Here is a 20792-nt window from a genome sequence, read left to right as displayed (position 1 = left end):
ATATGACTGGCAGTGCCATAGGTTTGTTTACACCAGCATCACCACAAACACATGAAAAATGTGGTGCACTATAACATTACAACAGCTACAATGTCATTAGGTGATAGGAATTTTTCAGCTCCATTATAATCTTATGGGACCACGCTGTTATGCGGCACATGACTGTATATACAGTTCAACAAACATTGATTAAATGCCTACTGTGTGCCAAACACTGCACTGCCAGGTGCTGAGAAGCAGAGTACCTGCCTTAAGACACTTTCATCTGTGCTGTGTCACACAGGTAGCCTGACAGAAGTCAGTACGTTGCACAGAAAGCAATCGAGCTTGCAGGTGGATGGGGGTGGGGAGGAGTAGGGGAGCAGCCAGGAGGGGCAGCTCTGCAGGAGTTGTTTAGAAATCAACCTTTTTTTTTTTTTTTTTACTGAGATGGAATCTCACTCTGTCACCCAGGCTGGAGTGGCGCAATCTTGGCTCACTGCAACCTCCGCCTCCCAGGTTCAAGCGATTCCCATGCCTCAGCCTCTCAGGTAGCTGGGATTACAGGAGCCCACCACTACGCCTGGCTAATTTTTTTTTCTTTGTATTTTTAGTAGAGATGGGGTTTCACCATGTTGGCCAGGCTGGTCTCAAACTCCTAACCTCAAGTGATCTGCCCACCTCCCGCCTCCCAAAGTGCTGGGATTACAGATGTGAGCCACCACGTCTGGCCCTGAAATCAACGTACTTTAAAATGCCTAAAAATAAATCTTAAGAAGCCATCTGTAATTCCCCAATGGAGAAAGCCAGGTGATATGTGCTTATAAAGTTATCATAACACATATACAATTCTGTGGTCACTTTTTTCCATCTAATTATTTAATAAACACTTCACCAGTTATTTGCAGCTAATGTTGATCATCTTAACCATAGCAAATATCCTGTCATGTTGATTCACATATATTTAGCCACTACCCTTTTGGTGATCTTTTAGGTTGTTTCTTGTTATTTGCTTTACAGATAAAAATGGCTTTGAAACTTTTGTCTGTGGTTATAATCTTTTTTTTTCTTTCCTTATATTAATTCCTTAAGATAAATTCTCAGGAGTGAAATTACTGGGTCAAAAATTATGACATTTTCCCAGCTACTCTGGAGGCTGAAGTGGGAGGATCGCTTGAGCCTGGGAATTGAAGCTGCAATAAGCCATGACTGCACCACTGCGCTCCAGCCTGAGTGACAGAACGTGACCCCATCACAAAAAAAAAAAAAAAATTACGACATTGTAATGGCTTTGGATACATATTGCCCAACTATCCTCCAAAAGATTACCACAGTTTTAAGAAATCACATTTAGGCCGGGCACAGTGACTCATGCCTATAATAGCAACACTTTGGGAGGCCAAGGTGGGAGGATCACTTGAGCCCAGTAGTTCAAGACTAGCCTGGGTAACATAGTAATACCCCATTTCTACAAAAAAATAAAATAAAATAAAATAAAATAAAAAATTAGCCAGGGGTGGTGGTGTATGTCTGTACTCCCAGATCCTGCAGTGAGCCATGATCATGCCACTGCACTCCAGCCTGGGTGACAGAGCAAGACCTTGTTTCAAAAAATAAAAGTTACATTTATACACCATTTGCTATAAGCCATGCTGTCCTAAGTGCTTTGCATACATTAGCTCAATCAATACTCATAACAGCTTTGCACTATTTTAATCCCTTTTTTTTTTTTTTAGTTTTTTTTTTGGTAGGAATGGGATCTCAGTATGTTGCCCAGGCTGGTCTCAAATTCCTGGCCTCAAGAGACCCTCCTGCCCCAGCCTCCCAAAGTGTTGGGATTACAGATAAGAGCCACCACACTCGGCCTTTAATCTCATTTTACAGATGAGGACATTAAGGTCTAAACAGGTAAAATAACTTGCTCAAGGCCACATTCCTGGCAAGCAGCAGAGCCAGGGTTCAGACCTAAGCAGTCTGGCTCCACAGTCTGTGCTCAAGTGCCGGCCTCTGATGCCAACAGCAAAAGACAAGTCCTCTTGGAACCTCAGCAGCTGTGGCCTTTCTCTACCCTCTGGCCACTTTTACCAATAAGAGTACGGTTATGTCATCACTGTCCTCTTTGGTATGTCTTCAAATAGCTGGTGAGGGCAACCGAACGTTTTTCTGCTCATTTGCTACTTATAATTTGGCCTCTCCTGTTTTAAAATTAGGAACAAGGACCACCTCACTAACACAATATTGAAAAGATATTTTGGCCGGGCGCGGTGGCTCACGCCTGTAATCCCAGCACTTTGGGAGGCCGAGGCGGGTGGATCACGAGGTCAGGAGATTGAGACCATCCTGGCTAACACGGTGAAACCCCACCTCTACTAAAAATACAAAAAATTAGCCGGGCGTGGTGGCAGGCGCCTGTAGTCCCAGCTACTTGGGAGGCTGAGGCAGGAGAATGGCGTGAACCCGGGAGGCAGAGCTTGCAGTGAGCCGAGATTGCGCCACTGCACTCCAGCCTGGGTGACAGAGAAAGACTCCGTCTCAAAAAAAAAAAAAGAAAAAGAAAAGATATTTTAAATTAATATGACTGCCAGGTGAGGATGGAGGGAGGAAATAGGGATGGGTGAAGAAAGAGGAAGCAAAAAGGGGACAGAGTTCTTCAGAAGATTTTGAGGAAAAGGGGAAAGAAAATATTCCAATCACCAGGCTAGCCATCAATTACTTCATTTAGCATTGAAAAAATAAATGACTTTTATAGAACTCCCCTCTGGCTACTTGGGCTGAAAGCTGTAATTTCATTTGAAATTGTAATGCTGTAGCTAATTACTGACTGTTCGTAATTATTTCATTGTTTTATCCCAAACATTTCGGAGGCTCAGACCAGGCAGGGCAACCACAGGGGAAAACTGAGTGACCACCACCATAAATACCTGGAGGGTTCAGCCAGAAGAAAGCAAGCAACAGGTGAGACTGGGTCTTTGGGCATCCTAATGCCATGAGACCCACGCAGCTCAGATACCATGGACCACTGCCAGGACTTAGCAATGGAGCCAGGGATATCGTCCAGTCCATCCATTTATTTTTTAGTTGCAGGTTCAAAGGCCCCTGAGGAGAGTTGTTCCAGGTCATCAGGAAAAGTAAAACCTATGTATGAACCCCTGAGTGTCAATCACACTCACTTTTCCTACCATCAACTTGCTGTGAACTGATGGAGAAAATCTCCCAACTGCAAGACTTGTTGCTACCATAAACCCCTCCCTCTCCAACCTCATCTGGCCCTCACAAGCCTTTTGCTAGTCCTGGGTCAGCTCTCAGCATCTGTTCTAAATCTTCCCCCACCCACATCCCACTCCCTTCATCTCCAAAGTCTACTGCAATTCCTTGGCCAGGCGCAGTGCCTCACACCTCTAATCCCAGCAGTTTGGAAGCCTGAGGCAGGTGGATCACCGGAGGTCAGGAATTCAAGACCACACTGAACAACATGGTGAAACCCCGTCTCTACTAAAAAATACAAAAATTAGCTGGGCATGGGGGCAGATGCCTGCAATCCCAGCTACTTGGGAGGCTGAGGCAGGAGAATGGCTTGCAACCTGGGAGGTGGAGGTTGCAGTGAGCCAAGATAGCGCCATTGCACTCCAGCGTAGGCGACAGAGCAAAACTCCGTCTCAAAAAAACAAACAAAACAAAACAAATAAAAAAACAAAGTCTACTGTACTTCCTACTAGGGCTTCCTTTCCTTCCGCCAGTCCTTACTTCTAGTCTCAAGAATGGGTTGTTCCTGACCCAGTGATGTAACCCCTCCACCTGTACCAAACAAGGAAAGTCAAGCAGGTGTTAGCTCTTGTGCCAACTCCAGTTAATTGACTGGGACGCAACTAGGAAGCACATGGTCAAGAAGGATTCCAAGGTTGTGCTGGGGGCTTAGGAAGGAGAGTGGTGCCGTGTTTTTTTCCATGACTTTCATAGTACTAAATCCAGTGACCACATTTTTGTCCTTATCTTATTTTGTCCTCTGGTTGTGACATCATGGACAGCCCTTTGTTCCATTAGCTGCCAATATCCATCCCTTCCCAATTCTCTCTTTCCTAAGACTGTTGCTTTTCAAACTCATTTCTGGGCATTCCTCTGTATCCTCGACTTTGGGGTTCTCCAGAACACTGGTCCACAGCTCTGTGTATTTTACACATCCTTCCTAGAGAGTTTCCATCTGGGCTTCTCTCTGTGCCTTAACCACCACCTAAATGCTGACTGCTCCTAGATCTGTATGACTAGCCCTGACCTCTGGCTCAAGCTTCAAGGTCATGGGTCCAAATGCCCACTGAGCATTGCTGCCTGGATGTCCCATAGGCATCTCAAACTTAGCATGTCCAAAATGGAACTCTTTGTCTCAACACCTGGTGCTGCCTTCCGCTCTCCTTTTCTTTCTGTTCCTTGCTTTAGTTAATGACACCACAATACATCCAATTATACCAAAGCAGGAACCAGGGTGTCAGCCCATGCTGTCTTTTCCCCCACCGCCTATACCCAGTAGGTTGCCAGATCCGATCAGTTTCACCTTCTAAACATTTCCGAAATCTGCTTTCTCCTGGACAACTCTACACTGACTTAGTTTAGGCCCTACAGATAGTCTAATCTTGTCCCTTTCCAATCCATACTCCATATTGATCATTTAACTTAAAACTCTTCAATGGCTCCCCTGAAAGGAAAAAAAAAAATCTCTCTATCCCCCTAGTGATGATAATTTATATGTACTATAATGTCATTTAAAAAGATATAGACATAAAACTAGGTATAAATATATATTTATGGCACATAAAACTATAAAAGCAATGGCAATTTACCAATTAAATAGAAACAAAACTATAAAGCCAATACATTTTAAAATAAAAACATTAATGTATTGTGACAGATGATGTTTGCTGAAACTAATTGCTGCACAAAATGCGATCGTGGAATGGAGAGTTCCAGCTCAGGGTCTCTGGAGTTTGGCACGCTGTGCAATGACTCACTTCTCCCACCACTTTTCTCTATTGGAACTTCTGCTCACCCTTTGTTCATTCAGCCTGCTGGGAGGACATTTGGCCTCCTCCAGGCTCAAACGCATCATTTACATATTAAGTCCTCCTCTGTTCTTTTCTAATTAGCTGAGACAATTAAAGCAGCACTACTTGGTGCCAGCTCATCACAAACACAAAGACGAATGCAGACACTGAAATCATTTGGCAATACAGGTTATAAAGTGCCACCCAGATGATCCAAACCATGATTATCTCATTTGTTTTTTATATTATCATTAAAAGTAAGACACAAAAGTTAACATTTTCCTAGAAAGTCCATGGACTTCAGATGAGACCTAAAGAGCCAGGCCCAAGCTCCCTACAACATGGAATCCAGGAGCTCATCACTGGACCCCACGCACTCACAGACACACTTCTGCAGCCACTTCCCAACACCCGCTTGGCACCCTGGTGGTACCAAATCGCTTGTGTTTCTGTGCTTTGGATGTCTGCTCATCCCTCCGACTGACAGGCCATGCCTGCCGTCTTCTTAGGCTAACTCCTCCTAATCCTTTAGGAGTTTGCTCAGAAGCTCATCTTTTTTTTTTTTTTTTAGACGGAGTCTTGCTCTGTCGCCCAGGCTGGAGTGCAGTGGCGCGATCTCGGCTCACTGCAAGCTCCGCCTCCCGGGTTCACACCATCCTCCTGCCTCAGCTTCCTGAGTAGCTGGGACTACAGGCACCCGCCAACACGCCCAGCTAATTTTTTTGTTTTTGTACTTTTTTTTAGTACAGACGGGGTTTCACCATGTTAGCCAGGATGGTCTCGATCTCCTGACCTCATGATCCGCCCACCTCTGCCTCCCAAAGTGCTGGGATTACAGCGTGAGCCACCACACCCGGCCTAAATATTTCCCGGCCCAGAAGCTCATCTTGACACCACAGGCAGGGTCAACTGCCTTTCCTCTGTGCCTAGCTTTATCATAGCACTGACTGCATCGTGTGCAAATTACCCTGGAATGTAAGCTGCCCCAGGGCAGGGACGAGGCCCTATCAAGCTCTAGATAGGGCCTAGATAGGGTCTGGCATATGGCAACACGCAACAAGGGCTGCTGAACTAAAATCCAGGCTCCATGCTGTACTGGAGAGAAACTCTGACGGTGGCTGGGCTGTAGAACTTGCTTTGATGACCGTCTGTGATCTTAGACATGTCATTTCATCACCTCGAGCCCCAGCTGCCCCAACTATGAAACAGAGATGATACAGATATACTGGTACAGGTGCAAAATCACAAGGAAATTTGATGCAGCATGATTTCAAAAGAAAAATATCGGAAGCGCCTAAATGTCCACCTTTGGTGTGCTGATTAAACAAATAATGGTACATCCATACAACGGAACACTATGCACTGTCAAAAAGAAAGCAGAAGCTTATTATGTACTGATGTGGAATTACCTCTCAAGTTTGTCTTAAAAGAAAAAAGTGGGAGCAGAAGAGTATATGTGGGATTTTACTATTTGTTTAAGAAGGGGGAAAATACATATATAGATTTGTGTTGACTTGATTAGGTACTAAAATGCTTGAAAAGGACCGGGCACGGTGGCTCACGGCTGTAATATCAGCACTTTGGGAGGCCAAGGTGGGTGGATCACTTGAGGTCAGAAGTTCGAGACCAGCCCGGCCAACATAGTGAAACCCCATCTCTACTAAAAATAAAAAAATTAAAAAATTAGCCAGGTGTGGTGGTGCACGCCTGTACTCTCAGCTACTTGGGAAGCTGAGGCAGGAGAATCACTTGAACCCAGGAGGCAGAGGCTGCAGTGAACTGAGATCATGCCACTGTACTCCAGCCTAGGTGACAGAGCAAGACTCCACCTCAAAAATACATACATACATAAATAAATACATAAATAAATAAAATGTTTGAAAAGATAAACAAGAACAATAGAGGTTACCTATTGGGGAGAAGAAAATGGATGATAGAGGACAGAAGAGAAGTAGATTTTTCACTGCATATATTTTATACTTACGATTTTAAAACTACAATACCATATTACTTACATAAAATTTAAAAATTTTAAAGTAAATATTTCCTGCCCACCATTATTACCTCACAAGATCAAGTAGGAAGATCAAGTAAACATTGTAGGCAGGGCATGGGGGCTCACGCCTGTAATCTCAGCACTTTAGGAGGCCAAGATGGGCAGATCACTTGAGGTCAGGAGTTCAAGACCAACCTGGCCAACATGTTGAAACCCCATCTCTACTAAAAATACAAAAATTAGCCAGGCATGGTGGCGTGTACCTGTAATCCCAGCTATTCGAGAGGCTGAGGTGGGAGAAATGCTTCAACCCGGGAGGCAGAGGTTGCAGTGAGCCGAGATCACGCCATTGCACTCCAGCCTGGGCAACAAAGCAACACTGTCTGAAAAAAAAAAAAAAAAGTAAATATTGTAAAAGCATGTACTGTTGTTGGAAGGTGTAAGCAAGAATGACATTTTGTGGTGAAGCTACTGTGTTATACCTGTACTAATAATTATAATGACAAAGATACCTTCCCTTCTCCATCCGCATCTTTCTCCAACACACACCCTCCAGGGGAGCATCAAGCTTCACTATCATTTTACAGAATAAAGGAGACTGAAAGAAGGGAAGTGACAGCTATGTTGACACATGATCTCACACCTGCTTCTAACACAGAGAGTCCCACACATGAACCTTCCCCTAAAGGGCCTTATAATAGCACCCTCTTCAACAAGATCCTGCCTACTTCCTATCCTCCCTTTCCATGCCCCATGCCTACCTTCTCAGGGACCCCCACACAACCAGGGGCTCTGCCACAGATTCTCAAACATCTCCCTTCAATTCCACACATCATTTTCTCATTAGTCTAGTATGCACACTGGGTCTGCTGACCTTTCCTCATCCACCTTGGCATCCTCACAGAAACCTCAAGGCTGCAAAATCCAAATAGCAGCCCAATGGCAGGCTCCACACAGAGATAGCGGGTGCTGACTCTGAGAACTCGAAACAAACCCTGTCATCAGGATGATGGCCTTCTTACTTCTCATCTCTCTTCCTCTTTGTCAAATGTTTCAAAGAAACCAGAACTGGAGGGGACGAATGCTAAGGTTTGCTTCTGGAGAGCAGCCAGGTAATGTGTGCTAACACCCCAGGGATATCTGTAGAAAGGGTCTTCTATATTAAGGAATTCTGCATTCAGTCCTACTCAGTTCAAGGCATGGCTGAAAAGACCCTAATGAAATGATTAAACATATGGACTTTAATGTCACGTATTTATTTATTTATTTTTATTTTTATTTATTTATTTTTTGAGTTGGAGTCTCGCTTTGTCGCCCAGGCTGGAGTGCAATGGCGCAATCTCGGCTCACTGCAACCTCCGCCTCCTGCAAGCAATTCTCCTGCCTTAACCTCCCAAGTAGCTGGGATTACAAGCGCCCACCACCACACCTGGCTAACTTTTGTATTTTTAGTAGAGACAGGGTTTCACCATGTTGGGTAGGCTGGTCTCGAACTCCTGACCTCAGATGATCCACCTGCCTCAGCCTCCCAAAGTGCTGGAATTACAGGCGTGAACCACCGCACCCAGCCAATGTCATGCATTTATTAATTCAACAAGTATTTATGGGGTGTCTACTCAATCCTAGTCACTCTACTAGATAATGGCATGCTGGACCCTGATCTCCCAAAACAGAAATTTTTAAATCCTGATTTAAGGCATTTACCAATTACCATGGTGTAAATACTCCCACCACAGTCAATATCAGTGAATGTAGAACTGGGAAGAGATGTATACAATCGGCCCTTGTGATCCAGTACAAGCTGGCTTTGGCAAACCACTGGACAATGAACAAAATACACATAGACTCTATATTCATGAAATTAAGTATAATAACTAACATTTACTGAGTGTCTACTATATGTCAGATAATATTGTAAGAACTTTATAGATATAAACCATGTAATTATCACAAAACCCCTGGAAGGTATTGTTATCTAACAACAAAAAAACTAAACACATAATCTCAAATTGTGATAAGTGATATGAAGCAAACAAAAAGAGTTGGGGGAGAACACAAAATTGAAATGTTTGCTGATTTTCATGGTGTAAATACTCCCACCATGACCAATTTCAAGCTACCAATGTGACTTCAATTGGTTTGCCAAATTCCACAAAATTTACCATATTGCTCTCATTAGCCAATATGAGCCAGTACAAGCCAGCTCCAACATACTGCTTGGATAGAAGAAGGAGGAGGAAGGGAGAGTGAATTTGGAATGATCACAGGTCTCTCTGGGAGATGGAATTTAAGCAGAGACATGAAAGATGACAAGGAGATAATCTTGTGCAGAACCAGGGAACACCCAGAAAGAGAGGCATGAAATGAGGTTAGAGAGAAAGGCTAGGGCCAGATCATGCAGTGTCCCTTTGACTGTGGGCAGAAGATTGAAATTTATTCCAAATGCATAGAGAGACCTGGGTTTAAATTTCAGTTCCACCGCTTACTATGTGTGTGATTATGGGAAAGTTCTTTAACTTCTTCAAGACTGTTTTCCTCATGGGTGAAATAGGTTTAATACCTGAAATCTATTCTCACTGTGTTATCATAACTAATACATGAGATGTGTATATAATGCCTGCCCAATACTGCAGCTATTATTATTACTAACCCACAATACATAATGCCCATTCGTGTGAGAAAGAGAGAACTAGGGGTAAATGTCTGAGAGCCTGGGAAAATTTGATCCATATGAGGTTGCTCTAGGGTCTCAAACTCAAAGGCCTACAGGGTCAGGCATATCATACCCAATGGAACATGAAAGAGACTAAGGCAAACAGAGAACATGCTATGTTCCAAAGGGAGCAGTTATTACAAAATCCAACAGGTTGTAGTCATCTGTAACATGAACCCCATGTTGACCAGTCTTCCAATTATTGGGATTTTTATATGAAATCTCCCCATTTGCAAATGTTGACCCTAATTCCAATTTAAAACACTGTTTAGACCAAACCAAACAAGCCTACAGACCACTCATTTGTGACCCCTGCTTTATACCTTTCAATGGGCTCTTTCTCTAACCCAAGAGGAATTGGACTAGCCAAGGAATGCCTTTGGCTGGCTCAGACGGGGGACACACAAGTGAAGTTAGGCTGTAAGAGTGACCTTCAGGATGAAAAGGGCAACTCAACTTCGAAGGCAGTGGCCAAGCAAAAGAAATGATTCCGTATATCCTACAACTCCTAGATGCTCATAAGCTCGGAAATCACTTTCTGATAATACATTAGTTTCAATCCACCATCTTGTTTTTTTATGTTTCTTTTTTCTTCTTTTGAATTTTTAACAAATTGTTTCATTTCTTTTTTTGTCCTCTACTAATTTAGAAATTATATACACAGTTTCTGTCTTATAATGGGTTGACCTCAAAATTACGACTTGCATTCTTAACTTGCCCAATGTTGTTGTCTAATGTTAAGTACCTTTACTGCTCCCTCCCAGACAGTATAAGAATCCTAAATATTTTCAGGTTTTAATTTTATTTTTATTTTTATTTTTTATAGAGATGGGGATCTCGCTTTTTTGCCCAGGCTGGTCTTGAACTCCTGGGCTCAAGTGATCTTCCCACCTCAGCCTCCCAAAGTGCTGGGATTACAGGTGTGAGCCACCCTGCCTGGTTGGGAACCCTAAATATTTTAATTACACATCCCCTGGTCTCCACTGCCAAACCTCACTTTTGTGGTTTTTCCATTTTTGTCTGGCTGGAAAGATGACTCTTAGGGCCACCTTGGAAGCAGTGTGCTGAAAATGGAGAGTATTTGCCTGCCCTGGTACCTGAATAAATAAGCAGGGAAGGGCTGCGTGCATGCTATGTGTTTACCCACTCTGCACTGTTAGGTGATTAAGGAATACATTTATGGTGGTTAAGGCACTGATATTTGGGGATTTGCTTGTTACAACACATAACATTATCCTATTTAATATAGATATTTTCAGACGGGCACGGTGGCTCACGCCTGTAATCCCAACACTTTGGGAGGCAGAGGTGGGCGGATCACAAGGTCAGGAGATCAAGACCAGCCTGGCCAATATGGTGAAACTCCATCTCTACTAAAAATACAAAACTTAGCTGGGCATGGTGGTGGGCACCTGTAGTCCCAGCTACTCAGGAGGCTGAGGCAGGAGAATCACTTGAACTCGGGAGGCGGAGGTTGCAGTGACCCGAGATGAAGCCACTGCACTCCAGCCTGGGCAACAGGGCGAGACTCCGTCTCAAGAAAAAAAAAAAAAAAAGAAAGTAATTTGTCCTTTTTCTCTAATCGTTTTTTAAAAAAATTTCTGTGGTTCTTTCAATATGTGTCTTTACAGATAAGGAAGAATTCTTTATTTGTAACATAACCACAATATTGTTATCATACAAAATATTAACTGTAATTCCTTAAATCACCAAATATCCCATGTACGAAATTCTAATTGTCTCACAAATGTCATTTGCTTTTTAAAAACAACGTGTTTGTTTAAACCAGTATTTATAAGGTGCACACATTATGATCAGATTATATCTTTTTAATCCTTTTATCTATAGGTTCACCCTCCATATTGCTCACTCTCCCTCTCTCTTTCTGTGTGTGTGTGATTTTTACACACATATGTATATGTATATACATACACACATGTATATAAAAATATAAATATAATTTTTTTCTGGCAGTTCATTTGTTAAAGAAAGCTGATTGTCTTACAGAGACCCCATAGTCTGCATTTTGATGATTACAGTTTAATGGTATCCTTTTAGTAAGATAACTTCATAGATAGTGTTGTGTAGAGTGTATAGTAGTCTCTCTATGCTAATTTATGGTCAATCCATTAGTTCACTGGAAGTTATATAATATTGATATCCCAATTACATCATATATTGATTTATTAGATAGAATACACCTATAAGGATAAATTCCCCTTCATCTTTTTTTTTTTTTTTTTTTTGACAGAGCTAGCTGAGGTTTTATTTTAGACCAAAAAAAAAAAAAAAAGCAATTGAATTGTTTTGTAGCTGGAGGCATGGGCAAGGGGGGTCCCCAGGTAGTAAACTCCCCCACAGGTGGGCTGAGGGCCAGGGCTGAGCCTCAGGTGGGTCTCCTGTTCCCAGTGCTACCCTGCATAGTGGCCTCCCTCCCAGGCTCTGGGGCAGCGCAGAAGGGGCAGGCTGGGAGGGGCTGCCTCAGCTGTTCACTTGGGCAGGAGTCGGAGGACTCGGACACCAGCTTCCTATCACGTGTCTCGATCTTCTTCACAACCACGGCCCTCGAGGAGCTGGTGCGGCTGAAGGAGCTGGAGCCCGCGCCAGAGCCAAAGCTGGAGCCCAGGCCATAGCTGAGGCTGGGGCTTGTGAGGCCCCCATAGGCCGAGCTCAGACCACCTGCATAGCCGCTGGTGGTCTTCGTGTGAATACTCATGTTCTGCATCCCAGACTCCAGCCGGCTCTCCTCGCCCTCCAGTAGCTTCCTGTAGGTGGCGATCTCGACGTCTAGGACCAGCTTGACGTTCATCAGCTGCTGGTACTCACGCAGCTGCCGCAACATGTCCTGCTTGGCCCGCTGCAGGGCGGCCTCCAGCTCGGACAACTTGGCGTTGGCATACTTAATAGTCAGCTCTCCGCGCTGCTGTGCATCTGCAATGGCGGCCTCCAGGGAAGCCCTCTGGCCTTTGGGGCCCTCAATCTCAGCCTGGAGCCGGCTGATGTTCCGGTTTATCTAGGAGATCTCAGTCTTTGTGCGCCACAGGTCATCCCCGTGCTTCCCAGCCAGGCTCTTGCAGCTCCTCATTCTTGATCTGGTACATGCTCTCAGCCTCAGCCTGGCTGCGGCTGGCGGTCCTCGTACTGTGCCTTGACCTCAGCAATGACGCTGTCCATGTCCAGGGAGTGGCTGTTGTCCATGGACAGCACCACAGATGTGTCTGAGATCTGGGACTGCAGCTCCCGGATCTCCTCTTCATACAGCTGCCTGAGGAAGCTGATCTCTTCAGTAAGCCCTTCCAGGCGAGACTCCAGCTCTACCTTGTTCATGTAAGCTTCATCCACATCCTTCTTGGTGAGCACAAATTCATTCTCCATCTCTGTACGCTTATTGATCTCATCCTCATACTTGTTCTTGAAGTCCTCCACCAGCCCCTGCATGTTGCCAAGCTCCGCCTCCAGCTTCAGCTTCTCCTGGCCCAGAATCTCCAGCTGCTGCCTAAGGTTGTTGATGTAGCTCTCGAACTTGTCCATGTTGCTCCGAGCCGTCTTCTGCTGCTGCAGGAGGCTCCACTTGGTCTCCGGCATCTTGTTCTGCTGCTCCAGGAACCGTACCTTGTCTATGAAGGAGGCAAACTTGTTGTTGAGGGTCTTGATCGGCTCCTTCTCCTGGGTGCACACGGCCTGGATGTTGGGGTCCACCTCCAGGACAAGGGGGCTCAGCAGGTTCTGGTTGACCATGACTGCGGTGATGCCTCCCATGCCGCTGGCCCCACCATAACCGCCACCCAGGCCACCCCGAAAGCTGCTGCTGCCCACTTGGGAGAAGCTCAAGGAGCTGATGCAGGCACTGGGCCCACTCGAGTAGGAGTGGCTGCTGAAGGCCCGGGGACCAGAGGTGGACAACTTGTAGGACTTCTGGGTCACCCTGATGGACATGGTGAAGGCAGGAGTGGAGGCAGGCGGGCCAAACCAGGCGGATATCCTAGAAGGAGCGGAGAAGCTGCTTCTTGGTCCCCTTCATCTTTTATTAGTTACCCAGTAGTGCAGTTTATATAGGAAAGACAGAATACATATATGATTATTTCCTGTATTTACCAGTTTTCAAAAAAAAAAAAATTAAACTGGTTCCCTAGCATCCTCCAAGTAACCAATTTACTTTGCTTTATTGCCGTTGTTTTTGTCATTAGGAATTCATAGATTTGAACATATTTGTTGTTTTGATCTACACCTAAGGGTGTAGCCCTTTGAGATTCTGGTTTAAAATGGACGTGTCTTATCAGAGCCTCACCTTTGGCAGGTCTTGGGTTTTTATTTTTGTCACCTTAGCCCCACGTCATCACCAAAAATACAGCTTAGTTTGGAAGATTGGAAATGGCTCTCAGGGCAAATACAACTTTGAGTGAAGGGCATGTCTCACTAGATTTTCATCTTCTCCTAGATGTTGGCCTATTAATTCCTATCTTAATTGCTTTTTATGTTTTCTAAATATTTAATTCAGTTTTATGACTATTCTCAGTAGGAAGATTGTTCTGAATTCTTTAGTCTCCATTACTATAAGAATTTACTTCCTTATGTGGTATATATACACCATGGAGTACTACTCAGCCATAAAAAGAACAAAATAATGTCTTTTACAGTAACTTGTATGGAGCTGAAGGCCACTATTCAAAATGAAGTTACTCAGAAATGGAAAATCAAATACTGCATGTTCTCACTTACAAATGGGAGCTAAGCTATGGGTACACAAGGGCATTCAGAGTGGTATCATGGACACTGGAGACTCAGAAGTGGGGGACAAGCAAAGGGTACAATGGGTACAATGTATAATACTCAGCTGACAGGTGCACTGAAATCTCAAACTTCATCACTATACAATTCACCCATGTAACCAAAACTTCTTATACCCCAAAAGCTATTGAAATAAAAAAAAAAAAGACTTTAAAGAATTCACTGTCTTGAAGATGCCTTTCCTGACCCAATCCTAACTCCTCAAAATCATCTGTGAGACTCTCGATAATCTAACCTCAGTAGACCTCCTCTTCCACTGCCTTCCCATTAAACTATATGTTTGAATTCTACAAATATTTTTCTTCCCTACCACTCTTTTTATCCCAGACTTCCTAGCCTTTGCACAGGCAGATTCCTCTGCCAAGAATGCCTTAAATTCCCCAAAATAATGATTAAGCCCTAACTATTTTTTAAAGACTCAACCTAATTATCACTTTTCCCATGCTCCCCAAATATTATATTCATTCCTCCATTTTATCAATATAAAAGGTTATGTCACAAAAGCCATGGCAGGGTTTAAGGGCTGTGATCAATGGTGTCAAGTGTCTCAAAAGAGTCCAGTGGTCACCAAAATATATCCACTGGACCTGACAGAATGGCAGCCACTGGAGACTGCTGCCCGGGCAGTTCAGAAATACAGTGGGGAAGAAATCCAGACTGAAACATGCTGAAGAAAAATGAGCAGTGGAGGTAAAAATGTAGATTATTCTTTCAAGGAGCTTGGTTGTGAAGAGGCGCCAGAGGTTAGGTAGGTTTCATGTTTTGTAAATGGAAAAGATGCATAAATATGTCAGAGGAAAAAGACAGTAGAAAGGGAGAAGATAAAGATACAGGAGACAAAATGACAATTTATAGCACAAGTTCTCACTGAGACTTGAGGACAAAAGTAAGGTGGAGAGGTTTACAGAGAACCTTAGGGGTGGGGGTGAGCTTTAAATATGAGTTATAACTTCATCTTTTTTATTTTCATAAAACAAATAAGAAGACTTGTGGAGGGGAACACTTGAAGCAAGGGGTGAAAGTTTATAGTAGTTGCTATGGGGGAAAGGGGAGGAGTTGATACCTCTCAGAAACACACAGGATCACAGGGAATCAAGCAGAGGGAAGAGATCATGAATTTGTACTGGTATAAAATTCCGTGGTTGGGTAACTGACTGTCCAGCAGTCCTCGCCAACACAGATACAGGGTCGGAAAAGGAGGACAGATGTACTGCTCTGGGGTTGAAGTTTATAAAGGAACAATGGGTTTGGGGGTATTAATAAGAGAAGTGATGGATCATAGGTATAGACCGATAGACTGGAGAAATTGGAGGAGTGAAGGGAATGTTGATTTTAGTGAGAGAGAACAGATGCAGAGAGAGATAAGTGTTGATAGGGAAGGAAGTCATAGCCAGGGATATTGGGCTTGAAGAATCAGTTGATAACAAACTCCATGATACGGCATAAGAGTAAGTGGATGACATAGAGTAAAAGTAAAAGAAATTGAACACTAGACAAAGGACAAAAAAGCTTGAACATTGAACAGCCATTAACACTGATCCTGAAAGCCATCCAAGATGATGGCAGGATCCACAAGATATAGGAGAACTGAGTCAGGTGCCAGAATTTTAGATGTGACCAAATCCCTATATGTCAATTTTCTATATAACAAATAGGAGCAGAGGGTCATGTTGCTAGACTAAAAGAGTCTCAAAGAGGATGGAAGAATTATGGTCATGGCTTTGGGCTTCCATTTTCTTTTCTGGAAAAAAAGGCGAGATTAAATTAGGTCATCTCTGAGCAATCTTAGAGCTCTAAAATCTACGAGCTCCCATCTAGACGATGACAGCCTGGAGGGTGCTCCCCATTTTCTAGCAGGGCACTCCCTACATCTGCTGCTCACACTCTGTTGGGGTTCCCATGTGTCAATGCTCAGCTTTTCAGTCACTCCTCAGCCATGTCCCTGTGTTTCCTGGGCTCATGGGCTGGCCTTCACCCTCTAAACCCCATGGACCCTGATTTATGTGCTCCTTGTCGTCTGTGCTAGCCTGGCCTACCTAGCTTGGTGTATCTACTTAGCAACAGGAAGCTCTCTTTATTCACTGTCCATCTTTTTACCCAAGCCTCAATATCCACCATTTACTCAGCTCTGCTCAGATACCTAGTTCTTGGCAGACCTCTTTCTGTTTCCTACCACTGACACCATGATGTAGGCCTATAGTTAACATGAATTAGGAAAGCCTTGGGCTGCCAAGGATCTCTTCCTCTCCTGTCCATAAAAGCCAAGACTGACTCAGATTGATTAGAGCTTCCCCTTCATCCAATGTCGTTTTTACATGAGTCCACTCCATTTAATTTTTCTTCCTCAATCTTCATTATTCCACCACACATACTCATTTTAGGACTTCCAATTTCAACCTCACCCTTCACCCTATCCAGCAGCACAGCTTCTCGCCTCCCACTTCTATCCCTAATGCTAACCCACTTCTCAAAAAGGCAGTCTCTCCCACTGTTGGAATCATTGTGATCTTGGTTGAGAATCTCTAATCTCTCCAGTCTGACTGCTGTGTGTTCTCCAGCTGCGAGGATTAGTGAGGCATCAGAATAGGTTGGCACACATGCTGGGCTATCCCTGCAGCTGTTGTGCTTTTTCAAAAACCACCAAGCAGGGAGCCCAGCCTGCCAGCAAAGAGCTACAGGCTATAGTGGCTTCTTGCAACTTTCCTCTGAAAACACAGTGGGAAAGGTCACTATGGGTGCAAGTCCTTGGACAGGACTCCATAAAAGCCTCCTGTGAAACTCATCCAAGTACATGAAAAAGTGGTAGTCAGAATATCTGGGCCCTTATCCATCCCACTTTACGTATTGCTGCTGGAATGAAGTAGTCTTTACCTTTTCCCATCTCCACCAGATAATCCTACTGGCTCCCTGCTGTCCTCTCTTAAAATTAAAATAATTTAGGGCCAGGCGCGGTGGCTCACGCCTGTAATCCCAGCACTTTGGGAGGCCGAGGCAGGTGGATCACGAGGTCAGGAGTTTGAGACCAGCCTGGCCAACATAGTGAAAACCCGTCTCTACTAAAACTACAAAAATTAGCCAGGCATGGTGGCGCCCTCCTGTAGTCCCAGCTACTCAGGAGGCTGATGCAGGAGAATCACTTGAACCTGGGAGGCAGAGGTTGCAGTGAGCCAAGATTGTGCCACTATGCTCCAGCCTAGGCAACAGAGCGAGACTCCATCACAAAAAAAATAAATAAATAAAAATAAAAAATAAAATAATTTAAAAATTGGATGTTTTTATTATTGGACTAATACAGGTTATTGCAGAAAACCTGGAGGAAAACAAATGGAGAAGTGTAAAGAAGACTATATAAATCTCTTGTCATTCCATCACCCAGAAATAATATTGTTATTATGTTGGCATGTTGCCTAACAATCTTTTTTTTTTTTTTTTTTTCCGAGACGGAGTCTTGCTTGGTTGCCCAGGCTGGAGTGCAGTGGTGCGATCTCGGTTCACTGCAAGCTCTGCCTCCCAGGTTCACGCCATTCTCCTGCCTCAGCCTCCCAAGTAGCTGGGACTACAGGCGTGAGCCACTGTGCCCGGCCACAGTCTTATGTGTATGTGTGGGGGGTGTGTGTGGGGGTGTAAGAATATGTTTGTGTTCCTGGTTTTGTTTTACAAAATTGGCATACCTGATAATATTCCAGAATACAGTTAGGCTGTAATTCAATTATTTTATATTATCAAAAATTTTTCCAATTTTGTATTAGTATAAGTAATGATGCTGCAATAAACATCCTTGAGGAATTATTGAAGCAAAAGATACATCCACTGTAAGGCTCTTTATTCATGCTGCCAAATTGTCCCCCAAAGAGTAAAAATCAGTTTCTACTTTATTCAATGAGAGTTTCTATTTCATGGAACACTTCTTGCCCACATTAGATAGTTTTACTTTTCTAATGCTTTGAAAATTTGGTACTGATTGGTAAATGACATCTTATTTGAATATGTACCCCTTATGAAAGAGGTTGCTCATTTTTTGTTTGTTTGTTTACTGGGTTGGTTTGTTTTTTTAGAGACAGAGTTTCTGTGCCAGTCTGGAGTGCAGTGGTATGATCATGGCTATGGAGTAGCTGGACTACAGGTGTGTGCCATCACACCTGGGTAATTTTTTCATTTCTTTTGTAGAGATGGGGACTCATTATGTTCTCAGGCTGGTCTTGAACCCCTGGGCTCAAGCATTCCTCCAGCCTTGGCCTCTCAAAGTGCTGGGATTACAAGTGTGAGCCACCACTCCCGGCCCTGTTGTACATTTTTTCCCATGCTGATTGGTCCATTCAATCTCAACAAAAATTAGCCCAGTCTCCAAACTTTATTCCACTGTGCTCATCCTCCTTTACCAACCTCATTTCTCATGACCTCCCACCAATCTGTATCCAACAATAGCCAAGCTTGTCTCATTACACAATGCTTGCACTCTTCATTTATGCAAATAGCCAACTTTAATAATCACCTGCTATGTGTCAGGCATTGTACAAGCACTTTACAAGTATTAACTCATTTAGTCTTTACACCAGCTCTATAGGCAAGGTATTATTGTTATTATTAACTACTTTTAAAATGTGGATACAGGCACAGATAAATTAGTTAACGTTTCCAAGATCACACGGCTTGAATCTTGAACCCTGGAGGATCTAAGAATCAAATCCAGACAGAGGGCTCAAGAGCTGATCATTAGACTAAAAAGCCTCCCTCCTAAAAGGGTAACATGAACAGCCTTCCTTTAAAAATTTCACCAATGCGAAAATTTTTCAGATTTTAAGTATAGGAGTAGGGTTAAAGTTTGAAAATAAAGGGCAAGCAGAATTTTTCTTTTTAGCCCAGATAGAGTAGTAGGAACTGGATTCGGTTGTTTCAGTTGAAAACAACTGAAACAACTAAAAAAAATAGACAAAATATATGAAACAATTGTTCTCAAGACATTGGATACCAGGAAATGAAGGACAGCGACTCCTGAGAAGTGGAAAACAAATGCAGGGAGCCCTACATTGCTCCAGCTTACTTCCTGGACAAAGTTTCCAGGCCAAGGCACAGGAAGGGGGAACTCAAGTGGAGTCCTGTGGTATTCCCCGAGTTGAGGAGTCAAAATTAAGAGTCCAGGAGGGCAAGGTGGCTGGAGTTCACAGGCCAGAGTATCAAAAAGGAAACTGCTGCATAGAGAGGACTCCAGAGATCTGCACAGGGCCGGTTTCTTTTGAGTACTCAGCTGAATTTAGATCAATGAATGTACGTGAGGAAATTTCCTCAGAGTGAGGAAAAAACTTCCTGAAAGGATTAGAAAGAATAATGCTTGGCCAGGCACAGTGGCTCACACCTGCAATCCCTGTACTTTGGGAGGCCGAGGCAGGTGGATCACTTGAGGTTAGGAGTTCAAGACCAGTCTGGCCAACATAGTGAAAACTCGTCTCTACTAAAAATATAAAAATTAGCCCAGCTTGGTGGTGCATGTTTGTAATCCCAGCTACTCAGGAAGCTGAGGCATGAGAATTCCTTGAACCTGGGAGGTGGAGGTTGTAGTGAGCTGAGATCGTGCCATTGCACTTCAGCCTGGGCGATAAAGCAAGACTCCAACTCAAAAAAAAAAGAAAAAAAAGAAAAAGAAAGAATAACCCTTGACACTCACACAGGGCCAGCAATAGTGTCTGTTCCCACCAGCCAGAGTGAAAGATCTCTTAATTCACAAGGTAAGGCAGAGTACACAGAAAGGTCTAGCCTCAATAATGAGGGGGAAAAAATCAACCTTAGAATAAATGTAGTCCTGGTTTTACCTCACAAAGTTTAAAAGAACAATCTGAAGGGTTCAGACTGTTTCTAAGAAACTTTACTGCATTCTACAGCAAAATTCAAGAATATATATAAGAAATCAAAAATATCTAGCACCCAACAAAGTACAACTCACAATGCCTATTATCCAGTAAAAAATTGCCAGGCATGAACAAGACAGGGATGCCCTCTCTCACCATTCCTATTCAACATAGTGTTGGAAGTTCTGGCCAGGGCAATCAGGCAAGAGAAAGAAATAAAGGGTATTCAATTAGGAAAGGAAGAAGTCAAATTGTCCCTGTTTGCAGATGACATGACTGTGTATTTAGAAAACCCCATCATCTCAGCCCAAAATCTCCTTAAGCTGATAAGCAACTTCAGCAAAGTCTCAGGATACAAAATCAATGTGCAAAAATCACAAGCATTCTTATACACCATTAACAGACAAACAGACAGGCAAATCATGAGTGAACTCCCATTC

The 20792-nt window shown here is 43.5% G+C and overlaps 1 pseudogene, besides 2 other annotated features; it reads right to left on the bottom strand.

Moving 5' to 3' along the window:
* Window positions 11765-12395: an enhancer, noted in NCBI's record as "H3K4me1 hESC enhancer chr1:157044311-157044941 (GRCh37/hg19 assembly coordinates)". NCBI's record gives its function as "activates a minimal SCP1, AML or CMV promoter by ChIP-STARR-seq in primed H9 embryonic stem cells {active_cell/tissue: H9 hESC(primed)}" and the evidence as "EXISTENCE:reporter gene assay evidence [ECO:0000049][PMID:30033119]".
* On the bottom strand, window positions 12016-13733 carry KRT8P45 (keratin 8 pseudogene 45; annotated as a pseudogene).
* Window positions 19686-19886: a silencer, noted in NCBI's record as "peak427 fragment used in MPRA reporter construct". NCBI's record gives its function as "represses an SCP1 promoter by STARR-seq MPRAs in K562 erythroleukemia cells {active_cell/tissue: K562}" and the evidence as "EXISTENCE:reporter gene assay evidence [ECO:0000049][PMID:32103011]".

Source organism: Homo sapiens, chromosome 1 (genome assembly GCF_000001405.40).
Source record: "Homo sapiens chromosome 1, GRCh38.p14 Primary Assembly".
NCBI lineage: Eukaryota > Metazoa > Chordata > Mammalia > Primates > Hominidae > Homo > Homo sapiens.
This window is presented reverse-complemented; position numbering and strand designations above follow the sequence as displayed.